The sequence below is a fragment of the Homo sapiens genome, chromosome 1, assembly GCF_000001405.40.
Source record: "Homo sapiens chromosome 1, GRCh38.p14 Primary Assembly".
Taxonomy (NCBI): Eukaryota; Metazoa; Chordata; class Mammalia; order Primates; family Hominidae; genus Homo; species Homo sapiens.
The window spans coordinates 215,622,271-215,638,023 of record NC_000001.11 but is presented as its reverse complement, the minus strand read 5'-3'; the positions used below and the strand labels follow the sequence as shown (position 1 = coordinate 215,638,023).

Here is a 15,753-nt window from a genome sequence, read left to right as displayed (position 1 = left end):
ATTTTAATTTTTAAGGAGCATCTTTTAAACTGAGTTTTACTCATAGTCTCTGAATCTAAATTTGTGATACTTTATAAAAGCAAATTAGAGAAATGCCAAATCTTTTCCACTAAAACAGATTCGGGATTGATATCCTATTTTAAATTCCAGTAATTAATGATATATCAAATTTGCATGTATAGAGTTTTTTTTTGAAAAATAAACATGTCCAAAATTTCTGAAACACAATTTAAAAAAAAAATTTTTTTTAATTTTTTTGAGACAGAGTCTCATACATGATGAAACATGTATATTATTGTCAAGGATAGTTTCAATTTGTAAAAATAACGTATTATTCTATGTTTCCAAACTTTACATGTCTGGATGTCATATAAAATTTCCTACAACACTTAATTCTTCTCATACGGCTTATTTCATTTAATAGCAGTGGTAGGATAGAACAGATCTCATTTAGTATTCTGTTAGCAACTCCAATATTTCCCCAAGTGGACAAGTGGAGGTATAAGGGACACAGGAATTTATCCAGGAATGCTCTGCTAGCTTGTTACTGGGATGAGAACACCAACACAGATTTTCTATTGACTTCTGGCCTGGGACTTTTTCTTTGCAATGGTTTGCCAAGTTAAGTACGCATAGGAATCACCTCATGTGCTTGTTTATTGTAGTTTCCCGGGCCTCTGGCAGAGATTCAGACTCAAGGAGGCTCAGAATCTGCTCTTTAAATAAGTCCTGTCCAGTGATTCTGACACAGGGCTCAGAACCACGTGTTGAGTGATGCCGGAAAACCAAGGTTGCTCGCCTTCTAAGCCCTGCCAGTCTAGTTTCCTTGGTGAATGGGAAGTGTGTTGTTCCTGGAGGCAGGCCATCAACAGAGACGGATTTACTCTGACACTGGCTGTGGTTTCGGTTTTCTTTGGATCTGAGGCCCAGCCACCAGAGTTTCAAACCCTGACAGTGAACCTCCCATGTGATGCACAGGTAGAGTCCCTTAAGGTGAAGGGGTACTTCAAAAAGACAGAAGGGAAGGGATAAAGGGACACCATCCTGATCTCGAGGTCTTCATAAAAAGGAGAAATCCCCCGTTGGCTCATGAATACGAATTGAGGTTTCCACTGTGTCTGGAGGCCGGGCTTTGGGTAGAGCAGAGGGGAAGAACTCTGAGGATTGTGCAATGCTCTGGCAGATTCCAAGATGTGCTGCCCAACTAATATCCATCGTCAGTTCTAATTTTCATGATGTAACTTTTTTAAAAACATTCCTGTTCCCTTGCCTGAAGGCAGCCTCCAAGCAGGAGAGTGGCAGAGACCTCATTTTCCTCTGACTGTTCTAAGGGCTATTTCCCTTTTGAGGCTTCCCTCGGGCAGGCTGCCCTCCCTTCCCCTGCGTGCTGTGGAGCAAGGGGCCCACTGGGCCCATCAGATCAGTTTCTGGAGTTACAGCCAACAAGTTGTTTTCTCTCTGTGCCACACACAGAGGAAACAACTCTTTTAGTGTGCAACCTAGGCTGGTTTGTTTTTAATCAAACAACACACATTGGTTCCTAATTAGGGGAATTTCGACCTGCTGGAGCTTGATTGGAGTGTTGACTCAACCCTTTATTTTAGAGATGAGAAGCAAAGGTCAGAGTCCAACATTTAATCACAGAGCTGATCGGCAGCAGAGTTAGGGTTGGCAAAGTAATATCCCTCCTCTTACGGAGTTCAAAGTTTAGTTTTAGTCACCATCTGTTCCTGCCTTTAATAGTTTCACCCCAGTTCTGAACTTTTTTCCTTTAAGTCTTTCCCTGCTAGTGTGAGTGTGAAGTACCACGCAGGCCCATGGAGTTCTAGAGGTGTTGAAAAGGGGGAGATTTGTCCAGTGAGTGAGTGGGCTTTGCAGTTGTGTCTGCTTGTTCTTCTGACCTGGCTGTGGGTATTAGATTTAGATGAGCAGCTCTCTGGCTCACATCTCCACACCAGCCTGTGTGGCCGCTGCATCAGATCCACAGGTTTCTGTGCTGGCCCCAGCAGTGGCTGGATGGGAGCAGATCTCTGGCCACCCCACCCCCACCCCTGCCGCACCCCTGCTTAGCTTGCCAAGCTGACAACATAATTTCACTGCCTTCGCCTATCCTGCATGATTCTTGTCAGCCTCTCTCCTATCTTCCCCACAAGACTTAATAAACCTGCCTGGCTGGGTGCGGCGGCTCATGCCTGTAATCCCAGCATGTTGGAAGGCCGAGGCAGGCGGATCATGAGGTCGTGAGATTGAGACCATCCTGGCCAACATGGTGAAACCCCATCTCTACTAAAAATACAAAAATTAGCCAGGCATAGTGGCGCACACCTGTAATCCCAGCTACTTGGGAGGCTGAGGCAGGAGAATCACTTGAACCCAAGAGGCAGAGGTTGCAGTGAGCGGAGATCACACCACTGCACTCCAACCTGGGTGACAGAGCAAGACTCCATCTCAAAAAATAAATAAATAAATAAATAAATAAATAAATAAATAAAAATAATCCTACCCACCCTTCATCCCTGTAAAGCTCTAAGCATAGGACCTGGCACCAGGTACATTCTTGTTAAATGTGAGCTACTTTTATTAATACTAACTTCATGTGCAGAGACTCACACCAACTGAACTCTCAATGTGTGAACGCCAAGCAAAGGTAAGTGGCTCCAGTGCTAAAAGATTTCTTTCCATAGGAAGCTTTCCCAGTGCATTTGGGTGATGGTTTGCTGAGCTTTGCTCTTTAACAGAGAGGCCATGTAAAGACAACATGGTAGCAAACACAGGCTGTTAATATCATAATGGAAAATGGAATCTGATGCTTCAAAATCCAGTTTGCACGAAGTATCAGGAATTGGACTGTTGCATGAAGCAAGTACACCTCAGATCTCCAAGGAGTGATTTTGTTTGTGACTCTGCAGCAATAATAGTAAGGGTCCCAGTCCCTCATGAGAATCCAAGCAAGGACTTTGCTCCCAAGACACACAGCTATGAAACAGGTGACCCTCAAGGTTACTTTGGTAACCTCTTTTAAAAATTGCTCCCCACACTCCCATCTTTCCCAGGGATTTGTCAAGACAGTGGTGATTTCCAACCTGAGCAGCAGCGCCAGAAGTGTCAGCAAGGCCTCTCAAGGGCTGTAAGCATCTCGTTATAACCCAGCAACCTGCTGAACCATTACCCCAGGCTGCACACAAGTGCAAACAAGCAGTAAGAGACAAACTGCTTTCTGCTTTCAACTCCTCTCTAATTTACTATCAAATAGCAGGGCCAGAGATGACAAAAATGCTTTCTGAAATAACATTTCCCCTTTCTTTCTCTGGGTTTTGCAGGCTTGGTCCTAACAACTCCTGGGAAAAAGAAGGGATCGCGGAGCAAAAGCACAGAGTTCTACAGCGAGCTGTGGTTCATAGTGTTAATGGCGATGCTGGGCTTGATCTTGTTGGCCATTTTTCTGTCCCTGATACTACAAAGAAAAATCCACAAAGAGCCATATATCAGAGAAAGACCTCCCTTGGTACCTCTTCAGAAGAGGATGTCTCCATTGAATGTTTACCCACCGGGGGAAAACCATATGGTATGTTTGTAGAGGTGTGGCCCCATTTCCCTATCACTGGACTAGAATACTTGTTTTCCTTCTGAGAAAAATGTGTCATAGCCATGGTAACAAGGAATTAGATGTAAGTTATGTTTCACTAAGTGTGGGGACCAAGAGAGGCTAACCCTAGAACAGCTTTCTCAACTTTGGCTGCACATTAGAATCACCTGGAAAGCTTTAAAAAATATCACTGCCTGGACTTCATCCGAGAAATTCTCATATCCTTGGTCTTGAGTAGGGCCTGAAGATTGGTATTCTTTTCTTCACTCCAAAACTGATTTTAATGTGTAACTAGGGATGAGTATCTCTGCCCTGTAATTGTAAGCCAGGGCCTGGTGGAGAAGAGTTGTATGTTGAGATTACCTGGGGAAATTATAGGTTGTATTACTGTGTAATTTGGTGGCGGGGAATGAACATTAAAAGGCGGAGATGGGGAGGAAGGGGCTACAGTGCTAGTGGTGCTCGGTCTGTCCTCTGGTCCTGACACCCTGTGCCACAGAGGATGGATGGCTCCTCTTAGCTATAGACCACTCACTCCCAAAATAGGAGGTCCAGTAAAGGTCTAGTGGGAGAGGGCCCCATCACTTGGTATTACAGGACAGTCATTGCCCAGAGCACTCATTGAAGGGTAAAAGGTGATTTAATTCCATGGTGCAGTCTGGTGTGGGGCTATGTCTACCTGGAGGAGGAAAGGCTGCGTTTTCTAATCCTCATCAGGTACCCATCTGTTCACCAAAGCTGGGCGCCCACAGGGCTACGTCTCCCTGAGGAGGTGCCTTTTTTCCAGTTTGCACTAAGGTTCTATATTAGCTAGTGGCTACCCTAGGCAGTACTAAAATTAAGCACAGAAGCCTGGTCAAGCTGCTTACACTTCAACATTTAAAAAAACAGCAGTGAGTGAACACAGCAGCACCATCTGCCTTCCAGATCTCTTCACTTTTCCAGCACTCAGCAATGAATGACCACTGGTTAAGCCCCAACATAGCTGGATCAGACCTAAGTAGCAGGAGTGTTGGGAGCACAAAAGGGCAGTGGGCCCTCCGAGGTCCACGGTTTGTGGTTTTTGTGGGAAGTAGCAATGGGACAATGACGTGGTGGTGGAGAAGCAAAGAAGGCACTGCCCAACACCATCAGGGCCTTGGCTCTCTACTCACATCTGTCCCACTCCTCTACTCACTCATCCTCCTCGGAGCCTCCTTCCTCCCTGAGCCCATCAGACAAGCTCTAACCACAGGGCCATTACTGCTGCTGCTCCTTGGGTGGCTCACACTCTTGCTTCATTCACATCTCTGCACAAATGTCACCTCCCATTCTATGTAAAATTTCCTAGCCCCTTAACCCACTTCTTTTCTTTTCTATAGCATTTACCACATAACACTAAGTCAGATATGTTTGTCTGACTCCTGAAATAGAAGGTAAGCTCCCAGGATCAATGATCTTGTGGGCCTCTTCCTGTTGTATGTGCCCCGGGACCCAGAACGGTGCCTGGCATATCATAGGCACTCCACGAATGTTTGTTGAATGAATGAATGTCGAGTGATCACTTCGAACCATGGGCTGTTTGCTCCTGTTCAGTGAATAGTCATTAGGAGATTCTCACTGAAGAGCAGATATTTCAAAATTTTTCCTTGTTAAAGAATAACTTTCTTTAAGGAGCCCATGTTCCTAGAAGGTGCACTGCTGCTGGAGGAAGGCAGTGGAAGAGAGAAAAGAAGGCAGGAGAGATCTGTTTAGCCTGGGAGATGAGCTAAACTGAAACTAGGGTCTATGGAGTGCATGGAGTGGTGAAAGGGAGGTTCCCAAGCACTGCTAGGCACATCTACTGTATAATGTGAGGTGCGGTTACAGGAAAGTGTACCCACATACCAGCAATGTCCAGAAGTCATTTCAGTGATACTTTCTCCTGTCCTTTGACCCAGTCCCTATAGGCAGGCACCTCTGTGTCAGAATCCTCCATGAGGAAGAACACTGTCTTCCTTACTTGGTTAACTTAGTGACCAGAAGACACTCCCATCATTCTTGTGGAGATGTTATGTTACTCTGGATATAACCCCATTGCTCAGGGTTTTAATGAGTCTTGTTAAGCTTCGTTTTGTCAAAGTGAGGACCATGAACTATCTGCATCAGCATCACATAGGAGGAGCAGGACCTGAAGTTCTGAGGGAGAAACTCAATAATCTGCCATTTTAACCAGAACCTCAAGAAGTCTGGGCCAGGCTCGGTGGCTCACACCTGTAATCCCAGCACTTTGGGAGGTTGAGGCAGGAGAATGGTGTGAACCCAGGAGGCAGAGCTTGCAGTGAACCGAGATCACGCCACTGTACTCCAGCCTGGACAACAGAGCGAGACTCCGTCACAAAACAAAACAAAACAAAACAAAACAAAAAAAGAAGTCTGATGCACAGCAAGATTTGAGAACAGCTGAAAATGAAATAATAATATAATACAAAACCTGTATGCAGTGTACTGTTTGATAACCAGTAGAAACAGGTGGTGGGAGGGTGCTGGTTAGACCTTGCTGTCCTGACACCACACAGGCTAAGCCGCCTCTGGGGACAGACTTAGGCTTCAGCTGAGAAAAGCGGACAAAAGAATGTAAACACCCTGTTCCTGCACACCCTTTACCATCGGGGAAATGCACAGTGGCACCCAACTGATTCTTTCACTGAGTGGCCAAGACTGAGTCAGGTGTGAGGATGGGAAGGCATAGAGGGACTGGCTGGCTGCCAGGGGCTCTGGGCCCAGGGAACTGGCTCATCCTCAGCAGGGAAGCCATTCATTGCAGGCAGGTCTCAGCAGAAGTGAAATCTGGGATACACCAGGGCACCGGGTGGAATTCCCCTGAGCCTGTTGAATCATAATTTAATCCTATCCAGTTGACAGTGTATTTGCAAGTCTTCTTCTGTTGCTTTTTACAAATATTTTTAAACCAAACTGCTCTCACAAAGTTGGAGACCATGAGAGACATTGTCAAAAATTAGCCAAACTAAAGAGAGTACAATTTGTATTAGTAGAGCAAAATGAAGTCCCTGTTGGTGACTGTGGGCTCCTCATCTACTCAGGTGGGAAAGAATCCAGTCAAGGGGAAGAATCTGAATAGGAACAAGCCAGATTCACCTGCTCAGTTTTCCAGATTGACTGTCTTTTCACTTGAGTAGGTCAATGAGCTATGCCCCTGCAACACCCACCCACACACACACACACACACACTTCTCCCCCTCATGTGACAAGCTCTGGTTTCAGTGCTGCTGTGACCCTCTTCCAAGCACCCGTCTTGTGAACAGGTAAGATACCCTTTGAACATCAGACCCAAACTGGCAAAAGGATTTTAGGCTATACTCTGAATGGAGAGAAATAGGCAGAGGTGCCAAGGAATGAGAGTGTCTTTTGTATTTCATCAACATTTTTCAAGACCATACAGTATACAGTATAGCTAAGTTTAAGTTTTGCTTGTTATTTAATTACTGGTTTGAAGATCCTTTCATTCCCTGCAATACTAAACAAATACTGGCAGTGGTACTTACCTTAGACACTAATCAATTAATTTCCACTCACCAAGGTTTTTTTTTTTTTAATTTGTTTGTTTTTGAGACAGAGTCTTCTGTCATCCAGACTGGAGTGCAGTGGCATGATCTCGACTCACTGCAACCTCCAGCTCCTGGGTTCAAGCGATTCTCCTGCCTCAGCCTCCTGAGTAACTGGGACTACAGGCGCCCGCCACCATGCCTGGCTAATTTTTGTATTTTTAGTAGAGACGGGGTTTCACCATGTTGGCCAGGTTGGTCTCGAACTCCTGACCTCAAATGATCCACCCGTCTTGGCCTCCCAAATTGCTGGGATTACAGGCATGAGCCACCGCACCCGGCCTCACTATGAAGTTTTAGTTGCAAAACCCAACTTTCTCTCTCTCATATATATATATATATATATATATATATATATATATATATATATACACACACACATACACATACATATATATTCACATATATATGTATATATACACACACACATATATATACACACACATATATACATATGCAGGTATGTATCCTAGGATATATATGTACATCAGAGCAGTATTAAATATGGGTATGATAATGCTGTCATTGGAGAAATGCAAGGAATGTGTTTAAAACTGTTCCAAACATGGACTGATGCTGCCATTTGTTCTCAGTTTGACTCTGTGGCTGATATATCTGATGTGTCAAGCAATGTCACCCTAAAAAGTTACACCATGCACTTTGAGGTACCTCTGTGTGCTGCATGAATGCATGATCTTTTGCATGGTGTGTTGACTGCACAGTGAAAAGCAGGAACAGATCATTGATGACTTCCATATATCCATTCCTTGGAAAGCTGAACAACATGAGTGAAAACTCTACTGAAAAAAGAAAAGAAATGGGAGGCCGAGGCGGGCGGATCACAAGGTCAGGAGATCGAGACCATCCTGGCTAACACGGTGAAACCCCGTCTCTACTAAAAATACCAAAAATTAGCCGGGCATGGTGGCGGGCGCCTGTAGTCCCAGCTACTCGGGAGGCTGAGGCAGGAGAATGGCGTGAACCCGGGAGGCGGAGCTTGCAGTGAGCCGAGATTGCACCACTGCACTCCAGCCTGGGCGAAAGAGCAAAACTCTGTCTCAAAAAAAAAAAAAAAAAAAAGAAAAGAAAAGAAAAAGCAGAAACATTTCATTGATTGGACCAGCTAAATCAGAGCCCTCAGATATTTAGAGCAACTATAGTTTATCTTACGGCGCGTTCTAGGTCTAAATTATGTAGTGACTTTTTCTCTCTGATGTTAATATCAGACCTGATGTAATTTGGAGGCTGGAATCCTATAAGAAATGGAGGAATATGGAATGAGAAATGAGGGAGGGAGGAGTCAATTTCCCTACACAAATCCAGGACTTTTAAAGTGAAAGACAAACGGAGCTCACATAGTGGACCACCATGAAATAATATTGTTATCTTTGGCTGTTCTGGGGGAGGAGTGTTCTCAAGAGGGAGGCTCTGTGCTGACATGTATGAAGAAGATACCTTGTTCACCCATCATCCGTCTGCCTTGCCCCACCACTTTGCAATGCAGCAAGCCCTTGCCCCACAGGGAACAACAGCCAGAGCACCAGTGCATGAGCTCTCTAGGTGCCGAAAACACTGGCCACCTAACTTGAGTATTAGCTCATCATCTCATCCTTCTTACCAAGAAACCCAGGGTCACCGTGTTGTGGGTGCTCATAGCTGCTAAATTCTGTAGGTGACAGTTGTTCCCTTCATTGACAATGTGACAATTGTCAGGAGACAGTCATTCCCTTCACTGACAATGTGTGAGACACAATTCTCTGTCATATTTCAAGCCCATATTCTTTATATGTGAAATACTCACAGCAACTTCCTTCTCAGGGGTTAGCCGATACCAAAATTCCCCGGTCTGGGACACCTGTGAGTATCCGCAGCAACCGGAGTGCATGTGTCCTGCGCATCCCGAGTCAAAACCAAACCAGCCTAACCTACTCCCAGGGTTCTCTTCACCGCAGCGTCAGCCAGCTCATGGACATTCAAGACAAGAAAGTCTTGATGGACAACTCACTGTGGGAAGCCATCATGGGCCACAACAGTGGACTGGTGAGTTGGTTTCCTCATACAGGGCCTTTGCTAAATATCCCAGAAAAAATATTGGTACAGAGCTGCCTGTACTTCACCGAATGCTGCCCCATGGCACTCGCCTCTGAGCACTTAGCCAGTGAGGTAGTAACAACCGGTTTACTAATGTTACTTCAGTTGTTTGATAAGCAGGGTAGAAACTTTGTCTTGTTCTTCTGGTATGCAATAGATGCTTAAAAATAAATGCTTATTGGCTAGCCGTGGTGGCTCATGCCTGTAATCCCAGCACTTGGGGAGGCCGAGGTGGGCGGATCACCTGAGGACAGGAGTTTGAGACCAGCCTGGCCAACATGGTGAAACCCTGTCTGTACTAAAAATACAAAAATTAGCCAGGTGTGGTGGTGGGCACCTGTAATCCCAGCTACTAGGGGGGCTGAGGCAGGAGAATTGCTTGAACCCAGGAGGTGGAGGTTGCAGTGAGCCGAGACCGCGCCACTGCACTCCAGCCTGGGTGACAGAGACTCCATCTCAAAATAAATAAATAAATAAGCAGCAAACAGGTTATACTTCATATACTTGGAGCAGATGACAGGAAACATTGGAATGGGCCTAAAACAAGGCATAAAATACAAGCACTTGTTTTACTAAAACAAAAAGGTACTTTTTTTGTTTTGCCTTTTCCTATTGGTGTATGGGTAGACGCAAAAAGAATATTTTGTATCAACAGGTGAACATGGTTGCTTTCCAAAACCTTAGGAAATGATGACAAATGAGGGTGTTACTATTTATAAGCTTCATCTTTCATAATTTCAGTCCAGTGGGTACAAATCATTGGCTCTTTGAAAGGTAACCTCTTCGTGATATAACATTTATTATCAGTCTCTGAGCGGCTACAATAACAAAAATCCTAGAATTTTTGCCAACTATCAAATTTCATTGTGCTAACTTCCTAGATGCCCGCTGCAGTACCTACCATTCCACTGGGCCTGTTAGAAAATAAACAGATAGGCCAGGCACAGTGGCTTACGCCTGTAATCCCAGCATTTTGGGAGGCCGAGGTGGGCGGATCACGAGGTCCAGAGTTAGATAGAGACCAGCCTGACCAACATGGTGAAACCTCGTCTCTACCAAAAATACAAAAATTAGCTGGGCGCGGTGGTGCGCACCTGTAATCCCAGCTACTCAGGAGGCTGAGGCAGGAGAATTGCTTGAACCTGGGAGGTGGAAGTTGCAGTGAGCTGAGATGGCCCCACTGCACTCCAGCCTGGGTGACAGAGCAAGACTCTGAAAAAAGAAAAAAAGGAAAAAAGGAAGGAAGGAAGGAAGGAAAGAAGGAAGGAAGGAAGGAAAGAAGGAAGGAAGGAAGGAAGGAAGGAAGGAAGGAAGGAAGGAAGGAAGGAAGGAAGGAAGGAAGGAAGGAAGGAAGGAAGGAAGGAAGGAAGGAAGGAAAGAAGGAAGGGAGGGAGGGAGGGAGAGAAAGAAAAGAAAAGAAACATAACCAGCTAGGAAGTTAGCTCCTGTGTTTACTCCTCTGGGGTAAAATTATTCACCTCCACTTCTTTCAATCATCTGCTTCTGTTTTTGGATTTGCTCTCATCTTTCTCCTCCAAGTTCTCACTTTTCCTTCACTGAAAAGTTGATGACTTCCATGAAGCCTTTCTTGACTAATAGCAAATAATAAAGGGAGTTCGCTGGACCCAGGTTCCCTAACACTATATAAAAAAATGTACCATCCTTCTGGCCTGTTCAGAATGATTGTATAATATATACATATATATAATATGCATTTTAAAATCACAGGCTGTTTGATGTTGTTGTAACCTCAACTACATGAGTCCATTTCAGATCTAAAGTTTTTAAAAGGCAGGGATAATTATATTTGGTTGAAACAATGAATTGCTAACTGATCATTTTTGACATGCAAAACAGCAATTGCTATACATTCAACATAATACATTGAAAGTTCAGATGAATTATTACATCTAATCTTCACAAACTGTAGGAAGTAGGTTCTATTATCATCCTCATTTTTTACAAAAAGAACTGAGGTTTAGAGAGATGAGTGATTTAATGAGAGATTACACAGCTAGCAATTATTTTTATGGGTTTGGGTTCTTAAAAACATCATCTGACTACAGAGCTCCTATTTGTAACTATTATACTGTATTGTCATTTTTGCTTGCTTTTTACGGTACTAATAATGGGCAATGTGCAAAGGGACTCAATAACAAGCTTTTGAAGGTGCCAGTACTTGGCAAGTTATCTGTTTATTATAACATTATAACCAACATTACTAACCCTATTTGATAAATACAAAATACAGCACAAGAGTGGGAAGAAATGGAGCACAAATAGCTAGCATTCTGCCTCTTCCATTTACCGTTTGAACTAAATCCATATATATGTGTGTATATATATGTATATATACAGATCACCAGAGGTCAGGAGTTCAAGACCAGACTGGCCAACATGGTGAAACCCCATCTCTACTAAAAATACTATATACATACATACATACATACATATATATATATAGTGTATATATACACTAAAATATATAGTATATATATGTAGTGTCTATATAGTGTGTATATATATACTAAAAATATATATATATACCCCCAGCTAATTTATTTTTATCAAGTATATATGTACACACACACACATCCCACTCTACAGATGAGTAGACTGAGGCTTCTGAGGCTTAGGTTAAAATATGACACAATATAACCCTCAAATCACATATACATTTTGAATTAGTCTATAGTTCATGTGTGCATGTGATGTGATCCTTTCAATAAGAGAAATTTAAGGCAAGGTCTGTTTTAGACCCCACCATGGTGTTGAGAATAAAAAAGCCTTTAATACTTATTACTTTTTACACTTAATTGATATAACTATAAATTGATAGCAAATACTATTGATAGCAAGTATGTAGCCAATGATGATTGGCTTATTTTTCAGTATGTGGATGAAGAGGACCTGATGAACGCCATCAAGGATTTCAGCTCAGTGACTAAGGAACGCACCACATTCACAGACACCCACCTGTAAAGGATGGAAACCCAGAAGACGTAACCCTGGAATGCAAGGTCTGCACCCATTTCCTCCTGGGTTATCACTCACACATCATAAATGCTGAAAAGCCATTGTTTATTATCCTATAATTCTTTAAAGAAATGATGACTGTTTTTGAAAGTGTTCCTTCCTAATAGAGGTCTAAGAAATGATATTTTTCTCATCTTAAATGAGAGAGAATATTCATATGAAAATACTTGATTTGCTCTTATTTTGTAGAAGACAAAGAAGTATGTAATTGTCACTTGGTTCTGTTTGGCAGTGATGCTCCTGGTTAACTGAATAATCAGTGGCAATTTCAAGATGGCTCACAGTTGTTAGAAGTAGTAAGTTAGTTACTGGCTCAAAAATGATTCTGTTGAAAGGATGTCACTGCTGTTCATTTCTATCTGCCATTTCTGTCAGGGTTGACACAATCCTGCAAGAATAGTTATTCTAATGATCACAGCTGCTAAATGAATCCCAAACTTTGCACCAGGTCGACAAACTTTTCTGAAGGTTCTATTTATTTACCATACATAGGGTTACTTACCAAACTTTTTGACAAGGCTGAAGGTTCTATTTATTTACAATACATAGGGTTACTCACCAAACTTTTTGACAAGGCAACACATAACTTACACATAAATGTCTCTGTTCTTGCATTTATGAATTTTCCAAAAATCTAAGGAGTAAACAGCTTATTTATACATTTTGAGGAGAAAACAAAGTGTTTCACTAGGAACACCTCTACTTGAACCAATGTTTTTATTTCATATATTTTATAGTTTTGAAACTAGTTTCTCATAAAATTCTGTCAATTCACTGAATATCAGAGAATACTGACATCTTCAACCTAGCACATTTCAAATGGAAACTACTGTTCTATTTGCAATATTAGGCTGCGTGAAATTTTAAAAGGAAAAATGTATCTGTTCCTTCTAGCATTAACATATATACATGTAGAGACAAGACTATACCTATGTGTATATATATGTATATCATGTATATATTACTCTGCACTATATCCCTTCTTTTTGGAGAACTAGCCATTATTTTAGCCACAGAATCAGTAAGAACAGATGATATGCAACAGTACCAATTACGGTTCAAAAATGTCTGTCACCTGCTCTAGTTGGATTACAAAGTCATTGGTGAAAGTCCTATGGCAAGAAAAATTTTCTTGCAAATCATCCACATAAAATCAGATATTTAAATTTGTTCTTCATGGAAAACAGAGTAAGAAAACCTCTTGTCTTCCTTCATCCTTAAAGGTCTTTGTGACCCCAGGAAAATATTGACTCTGTCTAACACACAATAGTCACAATACTTTTTGTGAATCTACAACCAGAGACAGGCAAAAACTTGTAAAGTAAGGGATAGTCTTACTTATTCTGCCTGAAAACAATGTATTACCCCAGGGCCCAACAGTAAAAGATTGTGGACTTTTTGGGTATTGAGATTTCATCTAGCTCTGTGAGAGAGCAGCTCCTCAGACTGACCAACTCCTAGACAAAGTTTGCCAACCATAAGTGTCAAAAGCACAGGCCAGTATTAAGCAGAAGTTCTACCACCTTATTAGAACTGCTATAAACAAAAGCATCTGAAATAATTGTGCACATCTGGCAGTGACTGTAGAAAATACGAAATATATATTTCTCGCCAAGTTTTTATACTTTCTGAAATGAAAACATAGGATTGACTAGTTTACTGGTTTTTATTCCCATATGCCGATTCTGGGACAATAAAGTTGTTTAAAGCTGGCACAAATAAGCATTAACCAAGGCTGTGTCCACCTTCTGTGAGCTACTTAAGGTATATAGGAAAGGAGTGGTCACAAACTTGCATCCTAATCCTTGGTGGACTCTTCTAAGAATACAGTTTGCTAGTCACAAAGAATAGTCTACAAATATGCTTTGCTAGGTTCAGAAGATTGAGTTTATCCTGATTTTTGAAAAATTAACCAGGTATCTTTATCACTGTGTATTTTTCCAAGCACAGTATAAAATTTTAACAACGCACAAAAAAATACAGAACTGCAGGGGATTTTATCTTGGATCATTATCCATTTAATCATCTAATTAGACATGAACTCAGTTAGCTGAATCATTTACATTTTGACTCCATAGCTTAGGGCAGACAGAAGCCTGTATGGCTTCTGCCCAGAACTCTGTCCCCTGCTACATGTCTAAGTTTACTTGTATTTATTTCAGAGAAGAACTCTAAGATGTTGCTTTGCTACTTTAAGTGGTATTGCGTGCCAAGCCTCTATTATACAAACCATGCAGACTCGCCTCTAGAGATTCTGATTCGGTTGATCTGGGGTGTGTGGCTGAGGCATCAGTACTTTTTAAAGCTTCCAGGTGTTCTAATGTTGAGACCCACTGATGTTCCACAATCTGGAAGAAATCATGTACAGGAATAATATGCTATGCACAGGGACTATGCTCCTTGGCTCACCCCTTCTCCCTTATAAACAATGAGCAGTTCTTGATGAACCTCTTTAAATTTAAATCTCCTGACTCACATTTTACCAATTGTACATGCCACATTCTCAGCTTACGAACTACCATGTTTTGTTATTCTTAATATCAACTGTTTGGTAAGAGTACAGTTGTTTTTATACACTCTAAGAAATGTGTTTATAATCTACTGTAATTTCCACTAAATGGAACCCAAATATTAATGTTATGGTACCATATACTGATGTAAAAATCATGCTGGCATCCATGAACACACCGGTAAATAAAACATAGTCCAAGTGGAAGAATTCATTAATAAGGAACTTTTAATTATGTCACAAATGAATAGTTGGTTTCCAATGCACAAATATCATGTAAACTAATCTAAAGATGGTTTGCTTAATAAATATTTGAATGTGACCTAATTCTGGCTTAATCATCTATTTATTATTAAAAAATAATACTCTTAACAGCTCTGAGTTACACATAAATGATGATAAAGCTATACCTATTTAAGAAAGTAAGTAGGATGTTCTGGATAATTTCTCAACCAACAATGTACATTATTAGAATGAAAACTGTTTTATTTTTTTTTCCAAAATATACTATTATTATGTCTCAACCAGCAGAGATTCAAATTCAGCAGGACTGGAGTGGGAGTGAGGCCTGGGCAACCATGTGTCTAACCTCAGCCATTTCTGATACATAAGCCTGCATAAGAGCCAGGAACAGGACCATAGACTCTTGAAATAGAAAGATTTGGGTTCAGAAGTTGGCTCAGTAGGTAATAAGCCTTGTCACTAAGTTAGTTATTTAACCCCTGTGGGTCTCAGTGATCCCATCTGTGAAATGAGGATAACAACAACACTTACTTACTTACCCTATTGGTATGAAAATACTTCTTTCCATGAAAATAATTACAATTGTTTTCATTTTTCATCATCAATCACACAAAGTACACAGACTCATTTCAATTTTTTTTCTTCCCACCACAGCGACCCTAATGAGGTAGGTATAATGAAAAAATTAAGGCATAATGGGGGCA

General features: G+C 41.7%; 1 protein-coding gene and 1 non-coding gene across 2 annotated transcripts in view, besides 1 other annotated feature; both read left to right on the top strand.

Moving 5' to 3' along the window:
• Window positions 1-15,133, top strand: part of USH2A (usherin) — an 800,558-nt gene extending 785,425 nt beyond the window's left edge. Inside the window, exons 70-72 of the mRNA NM_206933.4 lie at window positions 3,321-3,565; window positions 8,989-9,210; window positions 12,154-15,133. Of these exons, the coding sequence (NP_996816.3) occupies window positions 3,321-3,565; window positions 8,989-9,210; window positions 12,154-12,243 (557 nt within the window). The 3' untranslated portion in view covers window positions 12,244-15,133. The remainder of the gene's footprint in view (window positions 1-3,320; window positions 3,566-8,988; window positions 9,211-12,153) is intronic.
• On the top strand, window positions 7,907-7,998 carry LOC124904778 (small nucleolar RNA SNORD116). Its single transcript, XR_007067356.1, has one exon. It is a non-coding gene; the product is annotated as a small nucleolar RNA SNORD116 (small nucleolar RNA).
• Window positions 12,501-12,701: a silencer, noted in NCBI's record as "peak696 fragment used in MPRA reporter construct". NCBI's record gives its function as "represses an SCP1 promoter by STARR-seq MPRAs in K562 erythroleukemia cells {active_cell/tissue: K562}" and the evidence as "EXISTENCE:reporter gene assay evidence [ECO:0000049][PMID:32103011]".